The sequence below is a fragment of the Homo sapiens genome, chromosome 2 (assembly GCF_000001405.40).
Source record: "Homo sapiens chromosome 2, GRCh38.p14 Primary Assembly".
In the NCBI taxonomy this organism is placed as follows: domain Eukaryota; kingdom Metazoa; phylum Chordata; class Mammalia; order Primates; family Hominidae; genus Homo; species Homo sapiens.
Window position 1 is genome coordinate 189206745 of NC_000002.12, and position 19658 is coordinate 189226402.

The 19658-nt window shown below is 35.6% G+C and overlaps 1 protein-coding gene across 3 annotated transcripts in view, besides 1 other annotated feature; it reads right to left on the reverse strand.

Annotated features, from left to right (window-relative positions):
- The window catches only part of COL5A2 (collagen type V alpha 2 chain), a 409214-nt gene that overhangs the window by 174847 nt on the left and 214709 nt on the right, over positions 1–19658 (reverse strand). For all 3 annotated transcript variants that reach the window (XM_047443252.1, XM_011510573.4, XM_047443251.1), the window contains one exon: positions 18404–18588. The gene's annotated coding sequence lies outside the window, so the exon portion shown is untranslated. The remainder of the gene's footprint in view (positions 1–18403; positions 18589–19658) is intronic.
- Positions 10202–11074: an enhancer, noted in NCBI's record as "OCT4-NANOG-H3K27ac hESC enhancer chr2:190081672-190082544 (GRCh37/hg19 assembly coordinates)". NCBI's record gives its function as "activates a minimal SCP1, AML or CMV promoter by ChIP-STARR-seq in primed H9 embryonic stem cells {active_cell/tissue: H9 hESC(primed)}" and the evidence as "EXISTENCE:reporter gene assay evidence [ECO:0000049][PMID:30033119]".

Genomic DNA, 19658 nt, shown 5'->3' on the forward strand with positions numbered 1-19658 from the left:
AAGGCATGAAGAGCCACAGAGGACAGCAGGATTGTGAAAGATGACTTTGGAAGATTTGGATAACAATGACACATACTCGAAAGTTGTGTAGAATTGGCCCAAGGTACTCTGATAATTTGTTTCAACTGAATTTTGAGCAGTGATTAAATAAGAACCTGTAAATTCTATTAAATGCAGAAGCCTAAATTAAAATTGTTTTATTTGTCTTGTAACATTGCCAACAATTTTTATAAATCATTCTAATGTACACTTTTAAGAATAACAAATGTACTTTTGTAAACATAACCTTGGATTTTATGCAAAAGACTGAAAAATAACCATGTTTGCACTTAAAAGATTGGAAAATATTTTTTGAAGTAAACTAGTAATACCAATGCAGATCAAAAGAAAATTTAGTTTTCTGTTTGGGTATGCTAAATTGGAATTAAATTAGGATATGTGTATGACTTTTCAAACTTAAACTAGAGGAATGTGAATTGGAGTTTCATATTATGGTATTTTCAAAAATTGGCTGCATTTTCTCATTGACTCCTCTAATCCTTTTTTTTAACTTTTACTAAACAAAATATTTTTGTATCACTGACCCATATTTTCAAAATTATGTCAAAAATAACTCAAGAAAAAAATTAACAAATATTTTAGCTTCCATTCTATTAAATGTAAGTTACAAAGCACTTGCTTTGTTATTTTACAATTTCAATTAATTCCCTTTAATAGCATTCACCAGTCATACAATTCTGTTATCAAGCATCCATTAAATGCCAGTTTCTGGTCTTAGTGCTAAGGTTTGCAAAGATCAATAACCTGCCTACAGGAAGTGTACATGCTAGCTAGTTAGAAAAGATAGTAAATAAATACAATACAATGAAATAAGTATTCTAGGTCACTTCTTCTAGCCAAATTTCTCAAACAACTTCTCCATGTTAGCTGTCTCCATTTTCACTACCTCATTCTTCACTCTACTCCACTTAGCAGAGCAATCACTCTACTGAAAAGGATAAAGGATCCCCCTATGATCATTAATGAGGTCACTAAATCCAGTGCAAAAATCTGTATGATTATCTTACTAAGCCTCAGTAACATTCAAAACTGTTGCTAATCCATCCTTTTGAATTTTTTTCTCACTGTTTCTGTTCCTCTTGTTTCTGATCGCTACTCTTGCCATTTGGGGTCATCCGCTTTGACTCAACTTTAATTGTTAAAGTTATTAAAAATTTAGCCATAATTCTCTGTTTTGCCTTGCTCTCCTCTCCTACTAAGACCTTAGAGTGTGCATGCTAGAAATTCCAAATGTATTTCTCCAGTTAGCTATTACTTTTGAGCTACGAAGTCATTTATGCAACAATCCTCTCAACTCCCCTCTTAAATGTTCAAAGGGATATCAAAGTCAACTTGACTAAATCCAAATTCATTACTGCTCCCCTCCAACCCACCCTCCTTTGCCTAGTTACCCCCTTGTTACCTCCAATTCCAGTTCAAAAGTCACTTCCTCAGGGTACTCCACATAGCAGGAACCAAGGATGTTTTGTTCATTGTTGTACAGTGCTTTGCACAATGTCCATTACATAATAAGGAGTCCATACACACTTGATTTGAATGAATGAACAAACAATCTATAGAAGTACAGAGGAACAGGTCATTAATTTTGTCCAGAACTCTCAGTTTAATGAAGGAGCTGACTCTTAAAGAATGAATAGGATTTTGTCAATAAAAAGGATGGCAGAAGAGGCAACAGATGCAAAACAATGGAGGGATGAAATACTTCAGGAGAATGAAACAAGAACTGCAGAGCAAAGGTCATGGTGCAGAAGGGACTGGAAGTTAGGAGGCAGGATAAGGGCAGTGATAAGAATAGAAACGAAGGATTGGGAAAAGAGCTGAAAAATTCTATTTTGACCAGAATTTGAGGAATCTGAACTTTATCCTACAGGCAATGAGAAGCCACTGGATGTGAAAGTTAAGGAAGAGAGATGATCTGTGTTTTAGAAAGTATACTACATTGGTTATTGAGCTATTGATTCTCATTTTGAATCCATACTTCTGTACCCTGTTCTGGTATGCTGACACAGGGATGCTGCAAATCTTCTTTTATCAGCTGGTTCTTTGGATTATAAAGGGAAACTGGAAGAATGGAAGAAAGGAAAAAAGACTCCCTTTCTCCTGTTTGCTTTGTATTTTTGTCAACATCCTCTTACCATGGCACCAGAACTTTTTTTGGCTTTCCCACAACTGGCCTCATCTGGCCCCCTCGGAGGTACTAGTAGCATGCAGGCAGTGCCCCTTCTTCCAAGTCTGAGCCCTGCTTCATGGGGGTCTTTATTTTAATCTTCTACTTTCTGAAAACTTCAGCCTTCTGCCTCTGTTCCCTGCACTATATAGGTGGTAGAAGCTTCTACAGTGATTCCTTTTATTTTTTAAGTCCTCTAACAACTGATAATCAATACAGTATCAATTCTTTATATTGAAAAACTCAGTTTGGCTTCTGTTGCTCTGACTGGCCCCTGACTGACATAACCTCTTTACTGTGGATTAGAAAATGGAATGGGAAGAACTAGAATTAGGAGACCAGTTAAAAAGCTGTTTCAATATTCTAGCCAAGAGATAAAGTAAGTCAGTGGCTATCCGAGTGAAGATTGATTAAATGATAAAAATAATAATATCTAATATTTCTGTAGCACTTAACATATACAGGTACTGTTCTAAGTTCCATAATCCCCATGACAGAGGTACTATACTTATTTCCATTTTATAGACCAGAAATCTGAGACCCAGGAAGTTTTCAAGTAATGAGCCCCAGGTCACACAGATAGTAGTGCTGGAGACAGAATTTAAACCTCAGTCTTTTGGTTCTAAAGAACTTCCTTTTAACAACAAAAAAGGGTTGAATTCTTGAGGTACTTCTGAGAAAGAAGCAACAATATTTGGATGCTAATTCAACAGAAAGGATCATGGAGAGGGAGAAGTCAGAAAATCTTACAGACTCTTAATTTTGGCTGAGTAGATGATGAAGCTTTTAACTGCAATGGAAAACAAAACAGAAAGATCAGTTTGGGGTTCCTGATAGGAATAACTAATTAATTCAGTTTTGAATATTTTGAATTAAAGATGCTTATAAGAGTGATGTCAGCTGAAAGTTAAATTTGAGTCAGGTGCTTTAAAAAAGTTGACACTGGAGATAAAGATTTCAGAGCCCTGAGAATAAAGAGGTTACATGAAGCCATGAAGGCAGATGGTAATGCCGCCCTGAAAGGGAAGCTAGGGAAAAAGAGTGAGCTGAGTTTTCAGGCCGTTAAATATAAATCCTCCTGGTCCTTTTTTCTACATAAAGAATAGCAAACAGTCTTCAGAAGAAATATATATTAAGCAACAAAATGAAGACATGAGGGATGAAACAAAATGTATGTGGCATGACACACAAGAAAAGTATGAAACTATTCAACTGTTTCTTTTTTCTTCTTCTTTTTTGGAGGAAACAAAAAGAAGAGGAAAAAAGGAAATAAAGAGAGTTTAAAATGAAATGCTTTAGTTCCTAACTGAAATGCAGGATCCCCAAGATTGATTATGCTCCTTAGAACGCTTTGGCCGCAGAGACTGGAATGACATCAGCAAACCAACCCTAGCCGAGGAGAATGAGTCATATTTTCGTCTGTTTTCACTTGATTAAAATATTTTACATTTGTTGAGCTTGAAAAAAAAAAAAAAGGACAGAGGAAGCCATTGAAAGTGGAAAACTGAAAATCCAAATATGGTGAATTTCTGACTCACCAGAATTGCAGCATCATAGGAACTAATAACTTTGATTTAAAGAGACATTCACAAAACAAAAACCAAAAACTTTTATTCAATAAATAATTCTCCAAATTCCATCAAAGTGCTTTAGGGTTTTCTTTAATGTTTAACTTAATACCAATGGAGAAAACACTAAAAGAAGGTCATCTATAACGTTTTTCAAAGTATGAAGTTAAAATCTTGTCAGCTATATTTAAGCATCATCTGGTCTTTATAACTCATTTTGTCCAGATTAGTATAAACTGCTGGTTTTGATGGTTCAAATGTGTCTAAATATTTGCTTCTCTGGAACAGAGGAGGCAGGAAAAGCAGAGTGAAGGGGTGGGACCGAAGGTTTGCTTCTTTATGGGGATCTATGCCAAGTAATCTGCAAACAATCCACTTCCTGGCCAATGACTGCTAACTGATTTCCCCAGGATTTTTTTTTAACTGTAGCTGCTAATACTGCCCTTTATCGCCATTAGCAATTAGAGATTTATAACTAAGCAGACTTCACTTGGAAAAGAAATCTATTACTGCAGACTTCAGGCAGTTATTTTTCTAAGTATGTGAATTATTGTGAGGCTCAAATCATATAAGCGAAAGACGTGGGTAAATTGTGAAGCCCTATATAAACTTCAGTTATGATTTGTTTAACAGGCCAGAGCATATAGAGATCATCTAAAATGGGAGTAACACTGTTCGGTATCATTTCAAATTAAGAAATCCTGATGCTTTCCAAAATTTCATTGTTCTTTATCCTATAATGACGTTCACTAAATATTGTTCATCAGTAAAACTTACCAAACTCTCCAACAACCAGTAGGTGGGTCTCTCCAAATATAATCAAAACACATATTTTAAAAACTTAAAAACTTTTCTCACCTTAAGTTTAAAACTATATTGTGCCAAAAAATTAGATGATAAGTACTGCACTGTTAAAAATCATTATCATTATTATAGAAAGTGTAGACCAAGAGTTAAAGTTTATATATTAAGAATAGTTCTTATATATCAATGAGAATAAGGCAGAGACTCCAGTAGAAAAATAGGCAAAACTACAGACAGTCCATATATTTAAAAAATATAAATGGCCACAAATAAATAGATAAGAAAATAATTACCAGCTTACTAAAAATCAAGTAACAAAAACTAAAAAACAATGAAGTAATATTTCTTACATTTCAAATTAACAAAGATTAAAAATGAAAATACTCAGGGGGGAGGGAGCCTGTGAAGATGACAGATACAGTGACTGCATAGTTTTTGGCTCTAGCAGAAACCCTACATTAAAAGAGCAGCAAGAAAGTAAAACCAAAAACTCATGGACAACATTTTTAACAAAACTTGATGGCAATATATAAATGTGTGGGTACAAACCACCAATAGCCTCGAGCCTCTGTGATTTGAGAAGCTGTGCAAAAGAAAGCAAGGAAAGTGCATTTGATGGACTTGAGAAATGACAGGACAACCCCAAAATAGCTGCCAGCAAGTATTCACTTAAAAATCCCATAGCCCACTTTGAGATCAAAGGCTTAGAGGAGGAGGTGGCACAGTGAGGGGATTATTTTATCACTTACGTTGTTTAGAATAACCATTGCAGGCTGATAATACAAAGCAGATCAACCTTCAGTAGTTCATCTGTATTTTACCTCTACATAGACAACGTGGCCTCCTTCCTGCCTGTACCTAAGGCAAATTGCTTCCACTGCCACCTCTATACCTTGAGATGCTACCGAGCTTACTGGAACTAGGAGGCATTTTGTCAAATACAATAGCAAATGAATGAAAAAGGCCCATCAAATGGGCTGGGGCAATCTGTCTCCTGTGAATTCTTAAAACTTGCTGGGCGCGGTGGCTCATGCCTGTAATCACAGCACTTTGGGAGGCAGAGGTGGGCTGATCAACTGAGGTCAGGAGTTCAAGACCAGCCTGATCAACATGGTGAAACCCAGTCTCTATTAAAAATACAAAAAATTAGCTGGGCGTGGTGGTGGGCGCCTGTAATCCCAGCTACTCAGGAGGCTGAGGCAGGAGAATTGCTTGAACCCAGGAGGCAGAGGTTGCAGTGAGCCGAGATCGTGCCACTTCACTCCAGCCTGGGCAATAGAGCAAGACTCAGTCTCAAAAAAAAAAAAAAGTATCTGCCAGGGCTCTCCTCCAGCACAGGCCCCTACACTGAGATGACACTGATAGGAGCGAAAGAAAAATTGAATGGTAGATGGGCAATAGAGACAAAGGAAAGGCAAGACCAAGATAAATTGGGGTGGCAAGAGGAGGGGGAAACAAGAGAATCAGGAACTCTCAAAAAGTAAGCTGCTATAATTTTTAACACTATAAATATAGTGTTAAATATATATATATATATATATACACACATATATATATTTTTGGAGATGGAGTTTCGCTGCTGTTGCTCAGGCTGGAGTGTGACAGCGCGATCTGAGCTCAATGTAACCTCTGCCTCCTGGGCTCAAGCAATTCTCCTGCCTCAGTCTCTCAAGTAACTGGGACTACAGGCGCATGTCACCATGACTAGCTAATTTTTTAGATTTTTAGTAGAGACGGGGTTTCACCATGTTGGTCAGGCTGGTCTAGAACTCCTGACCTCAGGTGATCCATCCACCTCAGCCTCCCAAAGTGCAGGGATTACAGGCATGAGTCACCACGCCCTGCCTTAACACTATATTTTTAAAAATCTTAAAGGGGGGAGTTGTATAAAAAGTTAGAAAAATCATCTGAACCAAGCCTCTTTCTAAAATTTCAGAAAAAACAAATTAACTTTAAAAAATGACCAAGAGAAAAGTATCAAGATTAAATGCTATAAAAAGTTACTATAACAAAAGGAGAATACAGAGAAGAATAATATTCCTACAAACACTGAAAGTGTGCCAAAACACGTCATAAAAACAGAGACAGCCAGACATTATGTGCTTCTTGAAGAAAGAACACATCAGCTGTGATCTTGCCATATGATTGAATTTAACTCTGATCAAGTCTCTAGATCCAGCTGTCAATATGCAGGAAATATAGAGGGAAGAGGAACTGCACCATCACTATGCAAGCAGCAAAATCCAGACTGTAGGAAACTACAGGCTATGGCCTGGGTTCCTCAAATTAACCGAAAGGGAGGAGGACTGGAGAGAGAATTTATAGATTAAAAGACTTAAGAGACATACCATCCTAAAATCATGAGCGAGAGTGAACCCCAATGCCTATAAATACATAGTTGGTGATGAAGCCACAGAGAAATGCAAGAAAGGGATTGATACAAAAGTAAGGAGAGTCCCTGGATATTTTCACAGTTCCTCTGCAGGAAAGTAGAGAGTAGTTGTGATCAGGATGGAACACACAGAAAGGCTTCTGGGTAGCTGGATGTGTACGTCTTGATCTGGGTATAGTGACAAGGCTATTTGCCTTATTATATTTCATATACACATATACATATATATGCATGTGTGTTTTTGTATCTGGATTATATTATACAATGAAAAATGTTTTTAATGGTAGTACCTAGTGTAAACTAAGATGTGGGGTAAAAGACACACCTACTTCTACACTTCTATAGTTATTTGTGTACATAGATTTTTAAAAATATGTAAAATGGCATATTAAACATATCAAAAAACCTTAAAAATATAGATAAGCTTATATTCATCTATTCAGCAATTCCATTTCTAAGAATTTATGCCTAAAAATATGAAGCCTGAACAAAGACATATTATTCACAGCCTTATTCTTTATGTCCAGGAAAGTAGAAATACCTTAATGTTCAACAATAGCAGCTTGATTAAATAAATTATAAATCCTATATAGATAATAAATTAATATAATGAAACTAATAGAGATGCCTAATTAATGACATGGAAAGCATTCATGTCATGTTAGACACAACAATACTATATAAAAACAATACATATATCCTTATATTTGTGTGCATAATTTTCCCTTTATACATACATACATATAGGGAAAATTCCAAGAAGAAATGACGAAAAATCCTCATAGAGTTTGTTTCTGGGAAGTGAAATTACAGAGTAATTTATTAAAATTTCTCTATCTTCATTTTTTAATATTTATTTTAAAAAGTGTGGATTACCTGTGTAATTTGCGAAAGGCAGTTAAAAGTGATTTCTTCCTTTCTGATGAAAAAGGGAGAGCAGTAGGAGGCCAGGTAAGGCAGGGCAGGCAAGACAAAAGAGTTCATGGCAACCTTGTAGCTTGACTAACCAACCAATGTGACTAATTCTCAGTAGTAAATGGGTAGTTTCTTGTGGTAATTTGAAATTCTGCAAAAGGTACTTGTTTTCTTCCATATGGATAATATAAAGAATTCCTTTAGATAAATTTTGTACTTGAAATCTGTATCCAACTGCACCTATTATTATCAGCTTTTGCCAGGACCTGATCTAGATATATTTTCCTATGTAATTTTATTATAATCCTCAGGAACTTCCTGTGAGTTAAGTGGTACTATCTTCAGTTTAAAATTGTGATAACTCAGCCTCAGAAAAATTAATGGAATTTCTTATTGACACGCAGGTCAATAGTAATAAATAGCAGATCTAGCATCTGAACCTAGGTCTTCTGATTCATTCTCTGTTGAGTATTTCAAGCTACAGTGGAAACAAATCTATACATAGTTACACATAATAAAAGAAGAGCTAGATCTCGTAGGGTGATCTAATCATCCCTGTTTACCTGTGACTGTCCCAGTTTAAAAACTGACAATCCCATATACTAGGTACACCCTCAGTCCCAAGGAAACTGGGATGGTTGGTCACTCTAAGAACATGGCTGTCTGAAACAGTAGCCACTAAGCAGAAGTGTCTATTAAGCACTTGAAAAGTGGCTAGTCTGATTGTATTCTGCATGCTGTAAGAGTAATATATGCATCAGATTTCTCCAAAATGTAGCATAAAAAATAAAATATAAAATAACTCATTAATAATTTTTATGTTGATTACATGTTGAAATAAGAATACTTTGATATATTGGATTAAATAAAACATTAAAATTATTTACACCTGTTTCTTTTTACTTTTTTTAATGTGGCCACCAGAAAACTTTAAATTATATGTGTGGCTTGCATTTGATATCTCACATTACATATCTTTTGGGCAGTGCTATTCTGAAAAAACAAAATATATATATAGACATATACAGTGTTAAATTCATATCTATTTAAAACATTTTTGAAAGACTCTTAAGATTCAGTTTTCAAACTTTTAGTCTTCTAAAAGTAGTTTCCCTGTCCAGAATTCATCAAAATTCAATTCTACCTCTTTCGCCTATTCTAAATTAAAAAACTAGCTAAAGTAATAGCTAATGACATAGAACTGTAAGGGAATTCCCACCTCTTCCAAAGTAGGAAAGCTCCCAAAATTCAAATGCTTCTTCCCTGTAACTAGCACAGCAAAAATGGTTACAGGTGCAGATTTTTCTTCTTTTCACCTCTCCTCACTTACCTTGTGTGGCTCAATTACTAAGCTAGTCACCTCAGTATCAATAAACTAAACATGCTATTGGGCTTTGAGAAGAACTCATTCCTCCTATAAAATATAAAATAGTGGTTTCAATTATGTGTGAGCCCTGTAACAAACACTTCTTTGGTCACATTTTTAGCAAGTTAAGAAAGCAAGTCAAATTAATTGTAATAATATCAATATAATTTGCAAAATGAAAATAATATTTTTCTTCTCATGATTGGTACTATGCAATGACAGCTATGTGGAATGATTTGAGAGATAACAGTAATGTCCCAAAGGTTCTATTGCCTCCAAATACCTCCCACTTTAGCCTGGGAATTCCATATTAAGATTCATCCCTTTGAGTCAAGCCACTAATCTCTACTGGCTGCTGTTAGATTTATTCAACAACTCACTAACTCATTCATTCAATATTCTTTTCTCTAAGAGCTAGGTGATGCGAATTCAAAGCATGAAAAATCGAGATGCCTGCTGCCTTGGGATTTCAAAATCTAGTATGTAAATTAAAAATATTATAATTTAATTGATATTACAATCAAGGTTATATCTGTCACTAGGGTGAATTAACCAAATTAAATAGCAGTCACATTGGAGGGCAGATAGTAGGATTCAAAAAAAGTAATACAGTCTTAAGGTTAGGATCACAAGTTCAGGAGTCAAGCAAATCACAATTCTAATTCTGGACATTGCTACTTATGAGATGTGTGAACTTGGGTAAATTATCTAGGCTTTCTCAGTCTCCATTTCTTCAAAAAGGAAAAGTAGTAACTAAATAAGTTTAATAACACCCTGAGCCCTCAACATTGTCTTTGGACACATTGTGTATACTCAATAATGTATGATTTTTATTATTAATGGGTCTAATGAAACCTAAATTTGCTGGAGGGGAAAGGCATGGGCAGATCCATGGATACTTCACTGAGCAGTGAGGGACAACATGAAGAAATTGCAAAATTAGGTGAAGGTAACTCTCAAAAGAGGATAAAAAAGAGAGAGAGGGGGAAAGTGACAACAAGCATCGATATGACCATGTTGCATTCTGTCTGCCTGATTTGATAAAATAATTCTCAAAAAAAAAATTAACACTCTGTTTCATTATTTAAGAATGAAGATTCATTAGTTACAGATAATGAAACAGTTCCGTACAGTTTTTGCATTTATTCACTTTCTGAAGTAAGAAAGGCATCAGCATCTTGTTATCATAGAAAGATGCCAGGACTAGAGGTCATAAATTCCTTTAAAAGGACCGTAATCAGTGTAAAAGCAGAGTGGATTTGCCCTTCTGAGCTCTGGGATATGCCGCAGCAATGTGTGCACATAATCATATTTATAATACAAGTATAAAAAAAGATATTTTAACTGTAATAAATTAAGGCCACTCTGGCTTCCTTTTTGTCATTCTTTCCTTTGTGGTCCAGTGCTGTTGGAGTAGCCACAAGCATTTTGGGGATCCAACTAAGAAGCTGAATTGGGGAAACACTTACTTTTGATTTAGTGAGATTTGTGTGTGTGTGTGTGTGGTTCACAGTCCATTACACACATACATTATGGCTAACAATCCTAGTGTGGGAATGGCTTCCAGAAATGCTCCTACCCATTTTACTGACCGAAGCAGCATTGCAACATAAAAACTCAGGGCTAAGCTTGATAAGAAAGTCTAGCAGAGGCGCAGCTTCCAAAAGGGAATTGCAATGTCATTAGTGTAGCTGGGGCATCTCTACGGGTGGTCCAGACAGGCCTGGTATGTTTAGAAGCTTGCATATCCTGTTCTCTCCCTAGCCTTTTCCTGAGTAGCTTGTCACACACCCAGTGAGGAAGGGACTGTGATGATGACGCTCAGAGCACATTCGAGGTGTCCCGCAGAGTTCATGGAATCACATTCAGCATTAGTATTTCACAGGCAGATTTTCTGGCAGATTTCCTTCAACAAAGAGCTGCTATTCTCAGGAATTTGGAATCATGGTCTTTTCATCCACGAAACAGCATCCATGTGGTCATGTGCAGAAGTGGTTTTCCTTGTGCTCACTCCACCTTTGCTGTGACCACTTCTGAGGTTTGCTCAGTGGTTCCTTTCTGTGATAGTCATGGATTCTAAGAACGTTATGCTAACAGATACACTGAGGTGTTTGATGAGACTTTCTAACTAATAATAACAGATATAAGTTGCTGTTATAGGTTTTCATAATGGGTTGAATACTTTCTCCCTCAAATTCCCATTCCCTGGAAACCTCAGAATGTGACCTTATTTAGAAATAAGGCCTTTGCAAATGTAGCTAGTTAAGGCCATACTGGACTAAAGTAGACACTAAATCCAATGACTGGTTCCTTTATAGGAAGAGAAGTGAACACAGAGAGGAGAAGACCATATGACAACACAGCACAGATTAGAGGGATTGTGTACAAACTGGGAAACACAAACGGTTACTAGGAGCCAACAGGAGCTGGGAAGAGGCAAAGAACGATTTTCCCCCAGAGCCTGCAGATGGAGCATGGCCCTGCCAACACCTTGATATCAAATTTCTACAATCCAGAACTGTGAGGGAATAAATTTCTGTTGTTTTAAGCCATAAAAAAGGAAGAAACACCCAGCACCCAGGGCTGGAATTTATATATTAATATGAACATGTCTTATGGTATCTTGCAATGAAAATATGTGGGTAGTAGGGGAAAGATAAGGTTTAAAATGTATAAAACCAGCAACGAGTGTGTGGAAAATTCTTCCAGTCATCAGCTGTGTACAATTGAATTGGAACATTAGGTTCTCATTGACGCCTAGTCAAAATGGAAGTTCTCTACAGTCAACAGTATGCTTGATATTTCAGTGCACACAATGATAAATGCACGAGATATTCTTTTTGCTCTTTTTGTGGAAAGCAGAAAAAAAAAATGAACTTCTCAGACACCTCTATTTGAAGGATGAAAACAGTAGTAAAAACCGGAAGTTACTTCAGTGCGCAGAAATGCTTGTTTTATGCATTTTGATATATTAGTTCATATTTTACTGTATCTGATTTACCTTACCCTGGCATAGTCTGGTACTTTCAGAGCAAACAATCCACAAAATTGCCACTGATGCAGCAAAAAAATTGCTTGAAAAAGCTAGTGTTCCAATAACAAAGCTAGTGCACACACATGTATCAGTCAACATACAATACAAAATAGCAGCCATTTAAAAATGCATTTAAATTGCTCTTGGTTATGCCTTACTTTAAGGTTAATCTTTTGTATTTCTTACAATTATTGATTATACCAAAATCCATATGTAACAGGAAGTGTTCTAGTAGGAGCCAAAAACATTAACATAAAAAAGACTGGTTAACACTCCAGTCAAAAAACTCTTCTATATTTGTATTTGTCAGGTTTTTACGTTCAAACTTATTATTTATTTTTTCATTCTAAATAAATATTCACTCTCATACCAAATTTATATTTGTAATTTTGTAGTTCTTTCCTTATAGAGAGTCTCTCAAATTGAATACATTTCAGGCCTCACAAAAATCTGGAACTACCTTTATGTAAGGGTGGAAACTGAATGGATTAAAATCATCACATTCATGATGACTTAGGCAAGAAAGTGTAGATTACACTATAAAACACTTGGAAATAACTTAGGTAAGATAGAATTATAGATCCCACAGTTTCTCCTATCATGGTATTTAGAACTCTGAATGAATGGGAAAAGCATATAGTTTAAACTTTTTATTATAAAGTCTTTGAGATTTAGAAAAGTAAGCAACTTGCTTGAGTTAGTGAAATAAGCTGTGTACTAGGTTTGAACTACCGTGTAAGCCTGACATAACCCCTGGCCTAGCATCTGGGAGCTATGGAACCAGGGACAGCTTCACGGATACATGACCTGTGCAGATAGAGTGCCCCCCCCCCACTCTTAGAAGTGTTCTTCGCTGAGTTTAATACCATACTGTCATCGTGAAATTCTTAATAATTTTTGAACAAAGGGGTCCACATTTTCATTGTGCACTAAGCCATAAAATTATGTAGCAGTTCTGTGTAGAGCACAAATGGCCTATTATAATGTCTCATGATGGGTCGAAATGCAGGCCTTTATGCCCACCTGGCTGTCACTAGCTGCAGCTGCCACAAGAAGGACATGACCTCAGGTGAAGAGACACTCTGCAGCTGAGGCCCACCCTGAAGGGGCTGACACCTGGACAACAAGACTTTTCTTAAAGGGAGATCCAGGTAGTATATTGCTGTGTCCAACACAGTCATAACACCCATTTTCTCTATGTGTGTTAACATCTTATCAGAAAACTAAAAATAATTTTCATTGCCCAATTTTCCCCTTCTTCATTATGTGTGTAAAGTTTACCAGAAAGTCTGTCATTTTCCAAAGTCAATGTCTTAGTGAGAAAATTCTTTAGAGAATTCAAATTAGTAGAAAACTGTTTCTTCAGAATTATTTTAATTGTATTTTACAGTTACAGCTCTAATAAGCTCGGTGTATTAACAAAAAAAAAAAAGGATAAGTGCAAATGTTCTTCCATGGTTTGAACATGCCAATCACTTCCACATTAGCCAATATAAAAAGAAAATTTTTAGTCTCTGATTTTTTTAAATCAAATATCACTTAGATATACATTCCAAATAAACTATTTCAGGTAAATATGTATTTTAGAAAGATCTTGAATTTAGAGGAATCTGGAAAAAATCAACATCTGTCATCTTGGTTATAAATGAGAAAATAAATCACCAGCAGTTACAATACTTAAAATTAAAAGCCCAAAACAATATTTTAGCATCTCAGTATCATTTCTGATGTACTGTGGTCTGTGGCAAGATCATGAGCATGAGGCCCATCACCCAGGCCTCCCCATCACTCGTACCCTGATCATTTTTTATAGCACTAATTACCTTCTAACTTATTCTCATTTTTTAGTTTCAGTGCTTATCTCTTCCCTCTAAAATATAAGCTCTCTGAGCTCAGGGTTTTTTATCAGTTTTGTTCACTGTCATATCTCCAGGGCAAAAAGGAGTGGCTGGCCCATAATAGGTGTTCAAATATCAGTTAATGAATGAATGAATAAGTAAATCCATAGAAGGCTATTAAAAATCTTTCTAGAATTGCAACTAAAAATACTATCTGTAAATTCACATTTTCACGATTCACAGAGGTGGAGAGCTGTTATACTGGATCTCAACAGAAATCGAAATCAAAATGATAAGGCAATATTCATACTCTTAAACACTCTGAGTTAGAAAAAATAATTACGGCATAAACCAGTTTGAAGTTCAGCTTTTGTTCATGGATGATTACATCTACTCAGAATCATGCTTTTGTTGCAGTCTAATGGTTATCTTAAATAGCTGAGGAAGGTATAGGAAAGTTATTCTAATTCTTTTTGGAAATGGATAAAGACCTAGATAATTGTATCCTGTGCTGGTAATAAAGCTTGGTTTCTACCTTGCTGCTCAGGATATGATTAAGGTCTTATCATTCACTGATACATAGGAACATAAATCCTTGGGGAAGAGGGGTGGGATGTTAGAATGAAAGGCTAAAATAATAATAATAATAATAACCATGATGTTAACATTAACACTGAAAGCACATATTTGATGTGAAGTCTATATTCAGACATTACAACCTCTTTATTATAAGATAAGAAATGTGACTGAGGTAAGCTTACATTTAGATAAAGGATTGAAGAAGGCACATGGAACTTAGACAGGAGTAGTTCTTGACCCTTGCAAAGAAAGATTTCTTATTCTAATAGATCATGTCCCTAAGAAAAATTCATTCATATTTTTCATATACTTCTGTTATCTACCCCTCACAGGCAGCAAGGGTAGTCAATGGCAATGTTATAAAAGTTAGACTAAAATTTGACAAACTAATAATGCTGGAACCCCACTATAACTGCATTTCTACAGAATGGAGTTTTCTATAATGTGGATCTATTCAAGATTTAAATCTAAGGATATTTGTCTTCTGAAATATGAATGTGTACATAAGACAGTTGTACCACACCCTGAGTCCATTCTGAGTCACAGGCCTGAGGCCTCAAAAAAAAAAATTATAGGGCATTACTAGAATTAAACACTTAAAAATGCATAACATTATTTTAGTTGATTCAGATAAGTCACTATCATTTTGTTGCTGTTTAACTTTTCTCTTATTCTCAAACAGATGCTAATTAGTAGGGTAAATTAGTCTAAATGTGCTTTTGAGTTTAAGCCAGATGTCCACAAATGTTAGTGTACATCAGAATTATCTGAGATGACTGATAAAAGTGGAAATTCTTAGGCCCCTTCCTTAGAGATTCAGATTCAGTAGGATTGAGGGTGTGGTCCACATATTAAGAAGTATTAGAGCACATATATATGTATTTCAAGCTCTTGTTGGTGTTAGAAATCATTTTAGAAACAATACTATGTAGCAAAGATAAGAAATATTTAATGAATAAATATGTTATCAAGTATGATTTTCATAATATATTCTCCAACCCTTGTACGTCAATGAAAAGTATTTTCTATCTCCTGCCAGTGATATCCTCCTATCCAGGAAAGGTGCCAGTTCAGGTTTGTTCTACAGAATTGAAAGAAACAGCTGTGTACTAGCAAATGCCAGAACAGAAATGACCGGGTAATTTCCTTCTTAGGCTACCAAGCAGACTGATCTTCAGAGAAACTAGGCTGGGCACTTGAGAAAGCACTTAAGGGCTTGACTCCCGGCCATTGGACTTTGGCCAAGGCAAACCTGCCTGCTTTCCTCCTCAGAAGGGGCAGTTGTGTTTGTAGTTTAGGAAAGGAAATCACTAATGCCCAGTAGAAAGCCTCCCAGAATCCCAACAGTATAACTCTGTTACAGGCTGAATACAGTATATCACCAAGCAATGAAAAATAGATCTCAAGACTAGAGTAAGCCAGCATTGGTCCTGAAAGCTACTTCATATGAGGCTAATCTAGTCTCTTACGGTGAGAAATTCTCATTCACCCAGTGTGAGTGTTCCCAGGAGTATATTAGAATAATTCATGGATAACATTCAAGGCTATAAATAAATAAATACTAAATTTCAATTAAAAAGGTTAAATATCTGGGTTTTGTCTAAGTCAGTCCAGCTAAAAATGTGCTCCCATATAAATTAGTTTTATAACAAAATATCTTATCTTATGTTCATTAGGCAATAAATTTCTTCAAATGACTTACACAAAAAATCTCCACCAAAATAATTACTGAATGAAGCCATTATGGAAAAGCCAGCTTTTCATCCAAATTTAACATTTTTTTCCTCCTCCAGACTATCTCACTTATAAGAGTTAATGCAACAAAGCCATACACTGAACAGAATTCTATGCAAATAGCTAGCCTGGCCTACACCTGCCTAATCCATATCCACTTCCTTTTTTTCCAAATTCAAATCATTCTCCTCATTCACTGAGTCTCTGTGAACACTAGACCAAGCTAGGCAGTTGGAAGCTCAGAAATAAACCAAGAAGTCTAGAAAAAGCCAATGAACTTGTAGAGGAATATGTGTGTTCATGAAAAGACATGCACAAGAATATTTATAGCAGAACCATTCTTAATAGCCAAAAGCCAGCAACCGCCCACGTGTGTATCAACAACATCGTGGATAAATAAATTTGTGGTTATAGTCATACAGCAATAAAAATGAATGATCTATAATTACACACAATTATGCAAAAATCTTTCAAACATGATGAGCAAAAGGAGCTACATTGTTATTCCATCCTGTATATTTCTATTTATATGAAGTAAACTTTGGTGCTACAATTCATAATAATGGTTAACTTGAGGGGAAGGGATAGATGGTACTGATTGGAGCTGGATACTAGGGGAGTATTCTAAGTTGCTCATAAGATTCTGTTTACTTACCTGTGCCCTAGCTATAAGGGTCTGTTCACTCTAAGCAAATGTATTGTGTGGGTTGTACACAAATTATACACGTACTTTTCTGTATGTACACTATACTTCAATAAAAAGTTCAGTTAAGAAAATTCTGTCACATTGTGATACCTCTAAGAAAAATTACGTAAAATATATTAAATATGAAAATGAGAGATAACAACAGGGAAGGAGGGGTGGTGCCAAAGGAAGCTGAGAGAGAAGAAGAAAAAGATGAAAGGATGCTTTCATAAAAATAACTGCCTGTTTCCTGTTGTGAAGAGGTAAACTGGGGATAAAATCTAAAAAAAAAAGTTTCTTCTCCAATGAGCAAAATGTATGTCAAAAATTAAACACAACCAAAAAAATAAATGACACTGAAGTCCCTGACTAATCATGTAAAAAATAAAGTTAGTTCCCTGTCTTACCCCAGGTAATTTTCCAGAAATAACTTACCATTCCAATTTAGAGAGAGGTAAAATATAGAACAGGATATAATAAAATATGAAAGAGGAAACTATTTTTTAAAACTAGAAAATATGGCTGGGCACGGTGACTCACGCCTGTAATCCCAGTACCTTGGGAGGCTGAGGCGGGCGGATTTCTGGAGGTCAGGAATTCCAGACCAGCCTGACCAACATGGCAAAACCCTGTCTCTACTAAAAATACAAAAATTAGCTGGGCATGGTGGCACACGCCTATAGTCACAGCTACTCGGGAGGCTGAGGCAGGAGAATCACTTAAACACAAAAGGCGGAGGTTGAAGTGAGCTGAGAACATGCCACTGCACTCCAGTCTGGGTGACAGAGTGAGACTCTGTCTCAAAAAAAAATTAATATTAAAAAATAAAAACTAGAAAATACAATTTTGAAGCATGAATAGCAATTCTAAGCATGACATAAGTTTTTCAACTTGAAAAGTCAAAACTTTCTATGCATCCAAAAACCATTAAGTGAAAGTAAGAACATATAAAAAAAAACTGGAGGAAATACTTGCAACTTATATGAAAGGCAGAGTCAATATACTTGATTTGCTAAGAATTCTTAAAAACCAATTAAAATCTTTTAACAGAAAGACAGACAAGAGACACAGCAGGCATGTCACGAAAGAATACAAGTTAATAAAAAATAAATCAACTGCAATGCATATCAAAACAATGAGACATTTTACAATTATAAAACTGGCAAGGAGTTAACACAGAGATATTATGGGGTATATATACTAAAACTATACTGAGGGACAATTAACCAAGCTTAATCAAAACTCTTTATACTGTACATACCACCAGTGGCTCGATGTTGACTCTCAGCAGTCTTCCTAGAGAATCAGAAGCAGGTGGTTTTGTGGTACGAGAGATAGCAGCAACTCTAGGATCCAAAAGCCTAATAAGGCTGCTATTGGGTATAGCACAGATGAGTGGCAGGTGGCCAGAGTTCTCAAGACCTTTGATACAACAGGAGTTAGTTCCTAATGAGGTAAAAATAAAGAAAAATATTCATATCAAACTGACCCAGATGGACTAGTTGAAAAATGGCAATCACCTCTCCCATCTTCAATATAGTGTTTAGTATTATCTTAACCTAAAAAACTCTTACCACAGCTTATTTTTCACAGTCAGACTCTCAGGGAAATCTGTATTCAAATTTGGCCAAACAACAGATTTCTTCTCTTTGTACAGTTTTGCTAAATGAAAAATCTGGTGAGGGCCTGTTTCATTTTCCCATTTATAACACAGAGAATATAATCAGTATTTTGGAGAAAAATAGTTTTTCAGCAAAAAGAGATATTTTCCAGCTATGAAAAATAAGAACATTAAACTGTTTAAAACCAAAGCAAAAAAAAATAAGCAAACAAAAAACACCATTTCATATATATGTTCTAAGTTGAACACAGAATTTGGAGGGTTTTCTGATTTTCTTATTTGTGTGGTTGCCATACTGATTTGTTTTGTTTTGTTTCTTATACTTTTTCACTTGTAGAACAACCAGTGATTTAAATTACATGAGTACAGAACCAATATGTGCTTTCTCTGACTCCTGGGTACAGACTCTGAAGTTGAACTGCCTGTGTTTAATTCCCAGTTCTTCTATTATTAAGCTGCATGACTTTGAGAAAGTTACATATTATTATTTCTGTGCACTAGTTTTCACCTTTACAAAATTGGAAAACAAAGGCAATATGCCTACAATGCTTTTATGAATATTAAATATCATCACATAAACACTTCAGTTATGTCCGGATGCAATAAAAGTGCTTAATAAATAGTATCTGTCATTATGTCTACATCTCCTAGCTATTTTCTCTACTACAGATAAAAATGATAGAGCATGATTTGTTAGCAATGACATTCCCCAAAACTCAGCAAACAAAAGCATATGTAAATAGCAAAACCTAATAGTAAATAGAGGAATGATTGAGGAGTGGCATCAGCAAGATGTAGTAATAAAAAGCACCTCCTTCATCTCACAAAACATCAAATCAATAACAATATATGGGCTAATTCTGTTTATGAGAAATCCCAAAACCAGTTAAGAGGC